This window comes from Homo sapiens, chromosome X (genome assembly GCF_000001405.40).
Source record: "Homo sapiens chromosome X, GRCh38.p14 Primary Assembly".
Taxonomy (NCBI): domain Eukaryota; kingdom Metazoa; phylum Chordata; class Mammalia; order Primates; family Hominidae; genus Homo; species Homo sapiens.
This window is the reverse complement of record NC_000023.11, coordinates 48,185,647-48,199,636: the sequence shown is the minus strand read 5'-3', so window position 1 is coordinate 48,199,636 and position 13,990 is coordinate 48,185,647. Positions and strand designations below refer to the sequence as shown.

Sequence of the window (13,990 nt, the reverse complement as noted above, 5' to 3'; positions counted from 1 at the left end):
AACCCGGGAGACGGAGGTTGCTGTAAGCCGAGACACTGCACTCTAGCCTGGGCGACAGAGTGAGACTCTGTCTCAGCAACAGCAATAGCAACAATGGACTCCTGACCTCAAGTGATCTGTCCACCTCGCCCTCCCAAAGTGCTGGGATTACAAGTGTGAACTGCTGTACCCGGCCATGTTCAATAATCTCGAAGTCGTAGACACACCTTCCAAACATCACAATCTTTGGTTTCTTTAATAACAATAGCATTTAATAATTATTTTCCTCCCGGGCACAGTGGCTCACGTCTGTAATCCCAACATTTTGGGAGGCCGAGGTGGGTGCATCACCTGAGGTCAGGAGTTCAAGACCAGCGTAGCCAACATGGTGAAACCCAGTCTCTACTAAAAATATGAAAATTAGCTGGGCATAGTGGCACGTGCCTGTAATCCCAGCTACTCAGGAGGCTGAGGCAGGAGAATCGCTAGAACCCAGCAGGCAGAGGTTGCAGTGAGCCAAGATCGCACCATTGCATCCTGGGCAACCAGAGTGAACCTCTGACTCTAAATACATACATACATACACACATACACACAATAATTCTCTTCCTCTTACAGCAGTTACAGCATCAGAAGGTAGCTTCATGGGTTCATTTCTCAAGAGAATACCCATTTTGTTCTGTATTTTCAGCAAGATTTTCTTCTAAAACCTCAAGGGCTGCGATGGCCACTCAGCAGCCTAGTGGATTGCCACCGTATGTGGACCCATGGTCGCCTGGCTTAATGGTCAGCATTATGTCATCGTCCCACAGCGCCACCGACACAGAGTGTCAGCCCCCAGAAAGGGCCTTTCCAAGGAGGACTATATCAGGTCTGACATTTTCATGATCAACAGCCAGCCATCTACCAGTTCTGGCCAATCCTATGTGTATTTCATCAGCAATGAACAGAACCAAGCTGGGAGCACGAGATGGGATGAGGGTAAGTTAATATACCACAAAGCTTACTGTTTTTACGGAGATTCAGCTGGTTTCTTTCTTTCTTTCTTTCTTTCTTTCTTTCTTTCTTTCTTTCTTTCTTTCTTTCTTTCTTTCTTTCCTTCCTTCCTTCCTTCCTTCTTTCTTTTTCTTTCTTTCTTTTCTTTCTTCTTTCTTTCATGTATGGATGTATTTATCTATTTGACAGTCTTGCTCTGTCGCCCAAGCTGGAGTGCAGTGGTGTGATCTCAGCTCAATGCAACCTCTGCTTCCCAGGTTCAAATAATTGAGCGAGCCCAGGATGTCAAGACCAGCCTGGAAAACATAGCAAAAGGCAGGGTGGTGCATGCCTGTAGTCCCAAGGCCAAGGCAGGAGAATCGCTTGAGCCCAGGAGGTAGAGACCAACCTGGACAACATAGCAGAACTGTTTCTACTAGAAAAATTAAAAATATTAGTGGGGGCTGGGTGGTGTGATCCTGTAGTCCCGAGGCCGAGGCGGGAGGATTGTTTGAGCCCAGGTGGTCGAAGCCAGCCTGGCCAACATAGCGAAAACCCATTTCTACTAACAACACAGAACAACAAAAAAATAGCACGGGCAGAGTGGCTCACCCCTGTAGTTCCGAGGCCAAGGTGGGAGGATTGTTTGAGCCCAGGAGGTCGATACCAGCCTGGCCAACATAGCGAAAGCCTGTCTCTCCTAAAAAAATAAATAAACAAAAATAAAAATAAATAAATAAATAAAATAAAAATGAGCCGGGCAGAAAGGCACATGCCTGTAGTCCTGAGGCCGAGGTGAAAGCATCACTTGAGTCCAGGAGATTGAAGCCAGCCTGGGCAACATATCGACACCTGGTTCCTACTAAAAAAAAAAAAAGGAAAAAAAATAGTGTGGGCAGGGTGGTGCATGCCTGTAGTCCCGAGGCCGAGGTGGGAGGATCCCTTCAGCCCAGCAGCTTGACGCCGGCCTGGCCAACATAACAAAACCTGGTTTCCACTAAAAAATAAAAATAAAAAAAAATTTAAAAAAGCGTCGGCAGGGTGGTGCATGCCTGTAGTCCCAGGGCTGCGGCGGGAGGATCGCTTGAGCCCAGGATGATGAGACCAGCCTGGCCAATACAGCAAAACCGTCTCTATTAAAAAATCAAAAAACAAAAAATATGAGTGGGGGTGGGGTGGTTCCTGCCTGTAGTCCCGAGACTGAGGCGGAAGGATTGGCTAAGGTGGATGTAACCAATACCACAATCACATCCCATAAGTAAATACATTTTCGTCTCTCCAGGGCTACAGGTAAAGGATGGTAATTGTGCACACCACACTTAGATTCCCTTTCAAAACTGTAATCAGAGGTTGGAGGGCCTTGGACTGTTTATTCAGTTGCAACAGATATAGAAGCCACTGAAGAATGAAAGCCACGACTAAGTACAGCAAAGCTCTGCAAATGTGCTAGTTTGGAAAACATTGTGTCTTTCAAGTGGAAAAATCACAGATCAACTATTTTTTTCTTCTCGCTGTTCAGACTAGAATACAGATGTTTAACCCAAGATCCAGGGACAGTCTTCAGAGAGTTCAACATCTCCTGACGGCGCCTGAGGACCACCCACTTTTTGGGTGTTGCAGTGGCAACAAAGTGTGGCTGGAGGAGGAGACAATATTGTGCAATGTCACTGCCCAAGGAGATGGACCAATCAGAGCAGTTAGTGAACTCCATCTGGCCAATCAGAAGTCAGAACAGTAGGCGGAACAAGCGAAGCTGATGTGGCGTCTGTCAGTCCAACCTCCAGGGACAGCACCTTCTCAAAGTGGGGGTGGAGACTCTAATTTTCCCGCCTAAAGCATACCCTGGGATTGGCTACTTTAAGTTCAGAGTACGCATGCTCTGACTTTCTCTCTCTCTCGATTTTTCCACAGAGTACGCACGCTCTGATTGTTTCGATTCTTCCAAAATCAGAGTAAGCATTTGCTGATTTTCTTTTTCCATTCTTCCTACCCCTCCCCTCCTCCGTGGTGCATTTGTTATCTAGTTTTAATAAGGAGTGTATATGAGGCAGGTCGCCATCTCAAATCTTTCCTGTCAGTTTCTAACTTTTTCAAGTATGGGATTTTTCCTGGGAACTCTGCAGTAACTTAAGAAATTTGGGCGGGGCGCGGTGGCTCACACTTGTAATCCCAGCAGTTTTGGAGGCCACAGCTGGTGGATCACTTGAACCTATGAGGCGGAGGTTGCAGTGACCATGATCACGCCAGTGCACCCCAGCCTGGGCAACAGAGCAAGACCTTGTCTGACCAAAAAAAAAAAAAAAAACTCACTCAAATCTTTCCTCCTGGGCTCAAGTGATCCTGTTGCCTAGGCCTTGGGACTACAGGTGCACACCATCCCACTTCTGCTAAGGGCTAAGGTGTTTTTATTTTGTTTTGTTTTAGTAGAAATTGTTTCGCTATGTTGACCAGGCTGGTCTCAAGCTCCTGGGCTCAAGTGATCCGCCCACCTTGGCCTCCCAAAGTGCTGGGATGGTACAGGCCTGCTACACCACCCCCAGCTAACTTTTTGTATTTTTTGTAGACACGAGAGTTTTGCTATTTTTCCCAGCCTGGTCTTGACCTCCTGGGCTCAAGCGATCTGCACGCCTTGGCCTCCCAATGTGCTGGGATTACAGGAGTGAGCCACCGAGCCTGGCTGATTGTGCATGTTGAAACACCCCACATTCTCTCTAAGTGTTCCCGGGCTCTTGTAGTCTCAGAAATTCTAGCTCTCTTCCTTCTAATAATTTACAAATCACCCAGTAATAGCTTCTAAATCCGTTCATAGTAGCGATGCTCATTTCTCTTCAACAGAACAGAACCCCCATCCCTCTGCCTGATCAGATCCATCACCAGAGAGACCATGTTATCTCTGGGACTCACTTCCCTTCCTTTATTCATTGAGTGAGGGTGTCAGAACGCCCCCACTGAATAAAATTACACAGTCACATCTCTGCCTTCCCAACAAGGGTCTGTACATCTTTCAGGGTAAGCCTGGCCTCAGGGAAACTACTAACAACATTAGCCAACCCCCTCCAAAGACTCAAGGCTGCTTTGCCCATAGGAAACATGTCATCCCCAATCAATACTTCTCCCAGAGACCCCTGGCTCCCTGTTTTCATCTGACTTCTCCCCATGGCCTTACTCAGGGACAGATAAGCCACGGATGGAGAAATGCAACTCCTGATTCCAGGTGACTGAGTGTGGCCAGACTTCACTGATTTCTCCCTCCATGGGACCAAAGGTCCTGCAGCTGGAAAGACTCAGACTGTTTCTCTTGTAGGACAGAGTGCTCCCGGTGCCATGAACGGAGACGATGCCTTTGTACGGAGACCTAGGGTTGGTTCTCAAATACCAGAGAAGATGCAAAAGGTGAGGTGACCTGCAGGGGGCATAGTAGTGGCCCAGGGGACAGTGTGGGGTGATCAGTTTTCTGAGGAGGGGAGGACAGAGGTACTGGGGACAAGGACCAGGGTCTCCGGGGACATCTGGAACCTTGGGAGCCTCTCACTCTCGCTCTGTCATCACCTAGCATCCCTGGAGACAAGTCTGTGACCGTGGAATACATTTGGTGAATCTCAGTCCGTTCTGGAAGGTGGGAAGAGAGCCAGCCAGCAGCATTAAAGCTCTACTGTGTGGCAGGGGAGAAGCTAGGGTAGGTGCCCCATGTTCTGTCAGTTAGCCATGGCATCAACCAGGACGGATTATCATCCCTACTTCCCAGATCCAGCACACAGGAAGCGGCTCCAGCTGAATGGCAGACATGCCTAGCTGAGTCACTATCAGAAATCCTTTTTTTTTTTCTAGGCCTTCGATGATATTGCCAAATACTTCTCTGAGAAAGAGTGGGAAAAGATGAAAGCCTCGGAGAAAATCATCTATGTGTATATGAAGAGAAAGTATGAGGCCATGACTAAACTAGGTAACAGAAAGTTCTAGGTACAGACAGTCTGGGGATACATGAGCATCCCTTTTCCAGCTTTGGCTATTTCTTAGGCTGCAGAAAGTACCCCACGTTTTCCTTTTGTGCAGGGAAAAATGGCAAGGCAGCTTCTGGGTGCTCTGCTCTTCTGTATCTTGTCAGGGCTGAGGGCAGGGACTGGCCACAGTGGAGCTCATACCTGGATCCTGCACGTTTCTCTCCCTTAGGAGTCTGTTCTGATGAGCCCAACTGTCTCTGTGGCATCTGGCACCCCCCCATCGTCCCTACCTTCCTTCTCTCGGCTTGTCTCTTTCTTTTTTTTTTTTGACTTAGAGTCTCAGTCTGTCACCTAGGCTAGAGTGCAGTAGTGCAATCATAGCTCACTGCAGCCTCAAACTCCTGGCCTCAAGCAATCCTCCAGCTTCAGCCTCCCAAAGAGCTGCTACTACAGACATGAGCCACCATACCAGGCCTAAGCTTGTCTCTTAAGGAATAAACATTTTGCTTCTTTCTAGGTTTCAAGGCCACCCTCCCACCTTTCATGCGTAATAAACGGGTCGCAGACTTCCAGGGGAATGATTTTGATAATGACCCTAACCGTGGGAATCAGGGTGAGTAGATGGGAAGGGGCTGGAAAGGGTCTCCTCAAGCGCAACTGCTTTTCAGCTCAGCTACCTGGGAAAGATCCTCAGGCATTTGTTCCCTCATACACATCAGGGCTGAGTGAAAAAAAAAAAATTGCATGCAGAAAGTTAACTACAGAGGCCATTCATATAAAATTTTAAAACATGCAAAACAAGAATATGTATTTTTATAGATAATAAGTAAGTGGTAAATGTATACAAACATGAATGTGAATAAAAAGCCATCAAATTAAGGTGACTGGCTGTAAGTGGAGGAGGGAGGGAGGGCGGGCAGGGATTGCTGAGTGCGGCACAGACAGCTTCAGCTGTGACTTGTTGATAGTGTGTTTTGTGTGTTTTTGTTTTTGAGATGGAGTTTCACTCTTCTCGGCCAGGGTGGAGTGCAGTAAGGCAATCTCAGCTCACTCCAACTTTCACCTCCTGGGTTCAAGTGATTCTCCTGTCTCAGCCTCCAGAGTAGCTGGGGTTACAGGCGCCCACCCAAACGCCCAGCTAATTTTTTAATTTTTGGTAGAGATGGGGTTTCACCATGTTGGCCAGGCTGGTCTCAAACTTCCTGACCTCAGGTGATCCACCCGCCGCAGCCTCCCAAAGTGCTGGGATTACAACTGTGAGTTACCACGCCCAGCCTGTTTGTAGTATTTCTAATATTCTGAATAAATAAATCAGATCTAAAATAGCTGTGGGGTAATGTTGAGATCCGACTGGACTCAATATTATTCCCCATACTTTTCTGTGTGTTTGAAATATTTCTTTTTTAAACGACATGTTGTTCTTCCTAAGCACTGTTAATGAATCAAAGGACAGTTAAGAAAATGTTACAAGTGAAAAAAAAAAAAGAAAATGTTACAACTGTAGATCCGCCAAAAACTTCCAGAGTTTGTTTCATTAACAGCATGTGGGTTTGAATAACTATCTTAGGAGTGAAGGTGATGAACACATTATGTAATAAGCACTGCTGTTTCCCTGTATTTTATCAAAACCAAATAGTCCTCTAATTCCCAAAGAACCCTGATTCTCTGTGATGAGCTCGGGAGTGAGTTTGAAAGAGTGATCCCTCATCCAACACACAGAGAGCTTTCCCACTTGTCAGTGAGGAGAGATAACATGGGGTGAAAAAAAGACAGGTTCTTCGGTAGAGATCTTTGTACATTTCAGGGATATAAAGGGGACATATGTGTTTACTTGCTCTTCTGCTCTGACAACACAATTATAAGACAAGGTCAGAAAGTCCAAACTGTCTCCAATAGACCTATTACTCGCCAACTAAACAGGCCAGACTCTACAATCTCCCACAATCACTATAAGAGATCTGAAAAGCCAGTGCTTGAGTATCTGCCAAGTTTTTGACGTTAAAGGACTGTCTTTGTACTGAAAATATTTCAGAGCCACTGGACTAAATCATCCATGGTTCATCACACATTTAACAGCTTAATTCACATACCATAAGATTCACCCATTTGAAGTGTAAAATGATTTTCAGTTGTTGTACATCTTGAGTGGATACAGTTCAGATTCCCAACCAATCAATTTAATTATTTGAGAATAAGTAAAAGATATGTAATGGAAAAAGATGAGACTGTGATGGGGTTTAGTCCCCATGTGATAAACCATGAGATGGAAAATTCTGAATTGATGCCACAGATAAATGCACCAACCATGACTAAACATAATTCAGAAGCAAATCTCAAATAACTCCTCAACAATCAGTGGACTCATAACCTCTGCTGCAGAATGCCCTCATGCAACTGAAGTCTCTCTAGAGTTTGGAAATCTTTACCAACAAAGAAAAATTCTGATGTATTCTCTTTCAGTTGAACATCCTCAGATGACTTTCGGCAGGCTCCAGGGAATCTTCCCGAAGGTGAGTGTCTCTCAAATCTAAAGGACCAGAGAACCTTTGTCCCTTCACGAATGTGAACCCTGTAAGAGTGGGAGAATATCAACAATGCCCTCACTGCCTTCTTCTCCCTATGTCTATCACAACACCTGATGTAGCACCGACGGCTTGCTAATACTAACAGTTGTGATCCTTAATACTTCTTTTGTTTTCATAGTGATGCCAAATACTATTTTAAGCAGTTCACATGGATGAATTTATTTAATCCTTAAGAAGACATTGTTTCTATTATCTCCAAATAATAATGAGTCACACACTTCAGTTGTCACCCATATAAAAGGCAGGCGACTTGGCACAAATCTTCTAAGTCCTCTGAGCTCCGGATTCCTGGTTCATGAAATGGAAGTAAAGAATCATAGTTCATGTTTTAGATCATAGTTATCAGCAGCATAATAATAAAATGAGGCTATCCGGGTATAGAGATGTTAAAGAATTTTCCTGAGGCGCAGTGGCAGTGGTAGTCTAATCCAGAGCTCCAAGCCATTTAAAGCTCATTCACATTTGCATTTGTTATGAAGTTCAGATGTTGCTCACTAGGGCTTCACCCCCGTAGGGCCTCCTGGTGCTTCCATTGAGAGACCCACTCTCACAACAGGAAGGACCATCTGGTCTCTGATCTGTTACTGGGGCCACTTGCATGGCTTAGGAATCGCTTTGACTGTTGGCCCCTCCCTACTGTGAGCTCCTTGAGGGCCTTGTCTGCACCTGGGGCATCCGGGAAGTCCCAGTCCCAGCCCAGGGGATCCCTCGGAGGCCCCTGAATTAGTGACCCTACAAGTGCAGATTCAACTCTGGTTTAGAGGGTAAAGGGATCTGGGAGTTGGGTTGCCAGTGTGGAGACCGAATTCAAAGAAGGATCATGAAAGGTATTAATTGTTATTATTACTACATTTAAACAGTGTTTACAAGCTCAGAGAGGCCTTCCCTTAGCCTATTTTACATGTATTGTTCACTATTTCATAAGTGAGGAAGCTGAATAAAAAGTAGCCTAAGGACTGGGCGTGGTGGCTCACGACTGTAATCCCAGCACTTTGGGAGGCTGAGGCGGGCAGATCATGAGGTCAAGCGATCGAGATCATCCTGCCCACCATGGTGAAACCTCGTCTCTACTAAAAATACAAAACTTAGCGGGGCGTGGTAGTGCCTGCCTGTAGTCCCAGATACTCTGGAGGCTAAGGAAGGAGAATCGCTTAAACATGGGAGTTGGATGTTGCAGTGAGCCGAGATCCTGCCACTGCACTCCAGCCTGGCAAAAGAACGAGACTCCATCCAAAAAAAAAAAAAAGTAGCTTAAGAGTGTTGGTCAGTGATACATCCCAATGCAACCAGAATTGTTATGGGTACCACCTCACTGAATTCCACATTCAATGTTGGTGCCTCGGTAGGCTGGTATGCCAGATCTGGTACTGCTTTCTTTGCTGCCTGGATTAATTTCAGCAAACCATTTCTTTCCCTCTCCCTTCCCTGTATACATCTCCCCACACCATCTTGTTCAGCAGTGTTTTGTCCCCTCTGTATGTCTTTACATTTACTCTCCCAGCAGCTGTCTACGAGCTTATATGGGATCCCTTGTATTTTACGGAAACTCTTCCCTTTGTAGACCTTGTGAATTCTTAGAATGCTATGCTCCAAATCTTCTGTATACCAAACTCTCAATTACATGGAGATATTTGCTGTTTGCAAGAATGTCAGTCTTAAAACAGTGTGAAGATAAGAAGAATTCTATCCCTGGAAACCATATTCAGTTAGGCCATTCCTTTCCCATCTAACCTCCCCTCCCAGGTTTCTCCTAATTTAGGCAAGTGTAACTCTCCTAGCATTGTTGAGAACATTGATTAAGGTAATGCATGTGAAGATTCTTTGTAAGCTCTAAAGCACTAAAGAAATGTCACTGATACTGTTTATCTGTGACCTTCACATTATAAAGATCACGCCCGAGAAGCCAGCAGAGGAAGGAAATGATTCGAAGGGAGTGCCAGAAGCATCTGGCCCACAGAACAATGGGAAACAGCTGCGCCCCTCAGGAAAACTAAATACCTCTGAGAAGGTTAACAAGACATCTGGTAAGAGAAAAGAATTTGGGAACAACCACTCTGGCTTTTCTCGCTAAGTTCAGGTGTGTGGACTGGGTGTGTGGCATGGACCCCAGACAAGCCTGGGTCCAGGCTGGGCTGAGGAGCTCGCCCAGCTCCAGATGAGATGTTACACATGACTTCCAGAGACACAGACTGGAGTTGTCATTCATATAAAAAAACCACGTGACTTGGGGCAAGTCTTCCAAATTTTCTTAGCTCCAGTTTCCTAGTTTATAAGTTGGAAATAAAGAATCTCAGTTCATAAATTGTTTGGAGGCATTAAATTAAGTCTAGAAGGCCTGATGACATGAAAGGTGCTGAAGCAATTCCATCTGTGATTACCTGGGATCATATCTTACTCAGCTCAATGCCTGTTACCCGATATAGGTGTACTTCAGAGATATTGCATGTTCAGTTCCAGACCACTGCGATAAAGTGAGTCACACACATTTTTTTCTTGGTTTGGCAGTGCATAAAAACATTATGTTTACAATATACTGAAGTCTACTAAGTTTGCACTAGCATTGTGTCTCAAAATGTATATATCTTAATTTTAAAATAATTCATTGTATAAAATGCTAATAATCTTCTGCGACTTCAGTGAGTCACACTCTTTTTGCTGGTGGAGGATCCTGCCTGGGTGTTGATGGCTGCTGGCTGATCAAGGTGGTGGTTGCTGAAGGGTGGAGTGGCTGTGGCAGTTTCATAAAAGAAGACAACAATGAAATTTGCCACATCGATTAGCTCTTCCGTTCATGAATGCTTTCTCTGTAGTATGTGATGCTTTTGGATAGCATTTTACCCACAGTAGAACTTCTTTCAAAGTTGAAGTCAATGCTCTCTAGCTATGAAAGTCCTAGATGGCATCTCCTTCCAATAGAAGGCTATTTTATCTACATTGAAAATCTGTTGTTTAGTGTAGCCACCTTCATCAGTGATCTTAGCTAGATCTTCCGGATAACTTGCTGCAGCTTCTCCATCAGGGTTTGCTGCTTCACCTTGCACTTTTATGTTATGGAGACGGCTTCTTTCCTTAAACCTCATGAACCAACCTCTGCTAGCTTCACACGTTTCTCCTGCAGCTTCTTCACCTCTCTCAGAATTCATGGACTTGAAGAGAGTTTGGGTCTTGCCCTGAATTAGACTTTGGCTTAAGGGAATGTTGTGGCTGGTTTCGTCTTCTATCCTGACCACTTTCTCATTTAAGCAGTAAGGCAGTTTTGCTTTCTTATTCTTGTGTTCACTGGAGTATTAGTATTATTATTTTCTTCAAGAACTTTTCCTTTGCATTATATACTATTACTTCCTTCAAGAACTTTTCCTTTGCATTCACAGCTTGGCTGTTTGGTGCAAGAGGCTTAGCTTTCAGCCTGTCTTGGCTTTCAGCATGCTTCCTCACTAAGCTTAGCCATTTCTAGCTTCTGATTTAAAGTGAGAGACATGCGACTCTTCCTTTCATTTCAACACTTAGCGGCCATTGTAGGGTTGTTAATCTTCCTAATTTCGGTGTTGATATGTCTCAGGAAATACAGATGCCCAAGAAAAGGAAGAGAGGCAGGGAAGAGCTCATCGGTGGAGCAGTCAGAACACACACAATATTTGTCGATTAAGTTTGTCAACTTCTATGAGTGCAGTTCCTGTTACCCCCAGAATAATTACATACAACAGGGTGATTATAGTCAATAATAACTTAATTGTGCAGTATGAAAACTAAAAGAGTGTAAATGGATTGATTGTAACCAAGGATAAATGTTTGAGGGGATAGATCCCTTATTTTCCATGATGTGATTTTTACGCATTTGCATGCCTGTATCAAAACGTCTCATGTATCCCATAAGTATATACACCTACTGTGTACCCACAAAAATAAAAAACAGAAATTATTTTAAAAGACTAAAAAACAATAAAAACAATTGCAGTAATAATATCAAAGCTCACTGATCACAAATCACCATAACAGATATAATAATAATGGAAAAGTGTAAAATTGGTGAGAATTTCCAAAAAAAAAATTGCAACATCTGTGAAGCAGTATGAAAATGAGGTGCAATAAAACAAGGTACGCCTGTGTGGCCTTAATAAATACGTGCTGAATGAAAGGAGGTAAGGGTGAATGTTCCCGTAAGTGAAGAGGTTGGGAATCTAAACCTGACAACGGAAGGAGCCAGAAGCTAAAACTTTAATTTGCATTTGGCCTGTATTGGTGTGGGTCTAAGGTCTCAGCCTCTCTAAGCCAGAGAATGTGAAAAACTGGATAAAGAAGACCCATGGGCACTTGGTGGTGGGGAGGCATCTCCTTTTTTGGAGAAAACAGAGCCTAACACTCTCCAATCAACCCAACCCTCTCCAATCTACCCAACCCTCATCTTCCAACTCTTCTCCATCATAGGACCCAAAAGGGGGAAACATGCCTGGACCCACAGAGTGCGTGAGAGAAAGCAACTGGTGATTTATGAAGAGATCAGCGACCCTCAGGAAGATGACGAGTAACTCCGTAAGTGAACCTTTGGCTCATCTCCCACATCCTTGCAGATGTGCTATTCTGTTATGGTACTGGTATCCCATCTTATCAGTTGTTCCCCAAATCATTCCCTTCTCATAATTTTCTAGGGTACAGCATTGAGGCTGAATGATGAAATTTCCCATGTTTTTTTTTGTGGGTGGGGGAGTCTCCTTTTGTTCCCCCAGGCTGGAGTGCAGTGGCATGATCTCGGCTCACTGCAAGCTCCGCCTCCCGTGTTCACGCCATTCTCCTGCCTCAGCCTCCCCAGTAGCTGGGGCTACAAGCACCCGCCACCACGACCGGGTAATTTTTTTTCTTGTATTTTTAGTAGAGACAGGGTTTCGCCATGTCAGCCAGAATGGTCTCAATCTCCTGACCTCGTGATCCATCTGCCTCCGCCTCCCAAAGTGTTGTGACTACAGGCGTGAGCCTCTGCGCCTGCCTAACCATGCTCTTTCTACTCCCTGCCCTCTATATCCAGGGATCCTCCCTACCCAGGATGCTGTGGGTTCCCAAACCCCAGGTCAGCACTGATATGCGGGCCACACCTTCCTCTAGCCTAGGAATTGATAACCCAGGCGAGGAAGTCACTGTGGTATGAGCAGATGGTTCACTTCAAGGAACCATGGAAGGCGTGTACAGGTCCTGAGGTAGGGCAGAATCGGAGTGGGCAGGGTCTGCAGGTCAGGAGGAGTTGAGATTGAGTTGTCATGTGGTGGGAACTCACTGCCACTTACTTTCCTTCTCGCTTCTTGCCTCAGCCTCGGGGATATGACACATGCCCATGATGAGAAGCAGAACGTGGTGACCTTTCACGAACATGGGCATGGCTGCGGATCCCTCGTCATCAGGTGTATAGCAAGTGAAAGCAAGTGTTCACAACAGTGAAAAGTTGAGCGTCATTTTTCTTAGTGTGCCAAGAGTTCGATGTTAGTGTTTCTGTTGTATTTTGTTACAGTGTGCCATTCTGTTAGATATTAGCGTTTTCACTGATGAGCAAGACATACTTAATGCATATTTCAGTTTGTGTATCCATGCACCTACCTCAGAAAACAAGTATCGTCAGGTATTCTCTGCATAGAACAACACTACCCTCCTCTCTTCCCAGATGTGACCACTGAGGGCAGTTCTGAGTGTTTAATTTCAGATTTTTTCCTCTGCATTTACACAAACACACACACATGCCACACAGACACACATGCGCGCGCGCGCGCACACACACACACACACACACACACACACACACACACACCAAGTACCAGTATAGGCATCTCCCAACTGCTTTTCCCCATGTGTCCTGGTCAAGCCCCCCTCACTCTGTTTCCTGTTCAGCATGTACTCCCCTCATCCGATTCCCCTCTATCAGTCACTGCCAGTTAATAAACCTTTGCAAACGTTCCCCAGTTGTTTGCTCCTCTCATTATTGTGCACACAGCTCTGTGCACTTGTGTGAATATTTCTTTAGGAAAGATTCTTAGAAGTGGAATTGCTGTGTCAAAGGAGTCATTTATTCAACAAAACCCTAATGAGTGCGTCCTCGTGCTGAGCGCTGTTATAGGTGCTGAAGAGACATCAGGGAACAGGGCAGACAGATGTTCCTGACCACCATTCTAGAGGAGGATGTTTCCAGTTGTTGGGTTTTTTTTGCTTTTTTCTAGAGACAGGGTCTTACTCTGTCCAAGCTGGAGTGCAGTGGCATGATCATAGCTCAATGCAGCCTTGATCTCCTGGGCTCAAGCGATTCTCCCACCTCAGCCTCCAGCGAAGCTGTGACTACAGGCACACACCATCATGACCCACTAATTTTTTCAGGTTTTGTCAAGAAAGTCTCCCTATATTACCCAGGCTGGTCTCGAACTCCTGGGCCAAAGCGATCCTCCCATCTTGGCCTCCTAAAATGTTGGGATTACAGGCATGAGCCACCGCAACTGGCCTCCAGTTTTTATTTTGATAGAGACTATACACTTCAGT

General features: G+C 45.2%; 1 protein-coding gene and 1 pseudogene across 3 annotated transcripts; one reads left to right on the top strand and one right to left on the bottom strand.

Annotated features, from left to right (window-relative positions):
- Positions 576-2,446, bottom strand: LOC100420083 (ornithine aminotransferase pseudogene; annotated as a pseudogene).
- SSX5 (SSX family member 5) lies at positions 2,842-13,417 on the top strand. 3 transcript variants are annotated; one of them, NM_021015.4, is made up of 9 exons: positions 2,842-2,906; positions 4,259-4,347; positions 4,508-4,630; positions 4,783-4,897; positions 5,413-5,508; positions 7,356-7,405; positions 9,369-9,504; positions 11,906-12,010; positions 12,781-13,417. In NM_021015.4, exons 2-8 carry the CDS (start codon positions 4,279-4,281, stop codon positions 12,004-12,006), a joined length of 690 nt encoding a protein of 229 aa, NP_066295.3. In that variant the 5' UTR covers positions 2,842-2,906; positions 4,259-4,278; the 3' UTR covers positions 12,007-12,010; positions 12,781-13,417. The 3 variants fall into 3 exon arrangements, with proteins under 3 accessions (NP_066295.3, NP_783729.1, XP_011542251.1); NM_175723.2 differs by lacking the exon at positions 4,508-4,630; XM_011543949.3 differs by lacking the exons at positions 4,508-4,630; positions 12,781-13,417 and adding an exon at positions 12,501-12,557.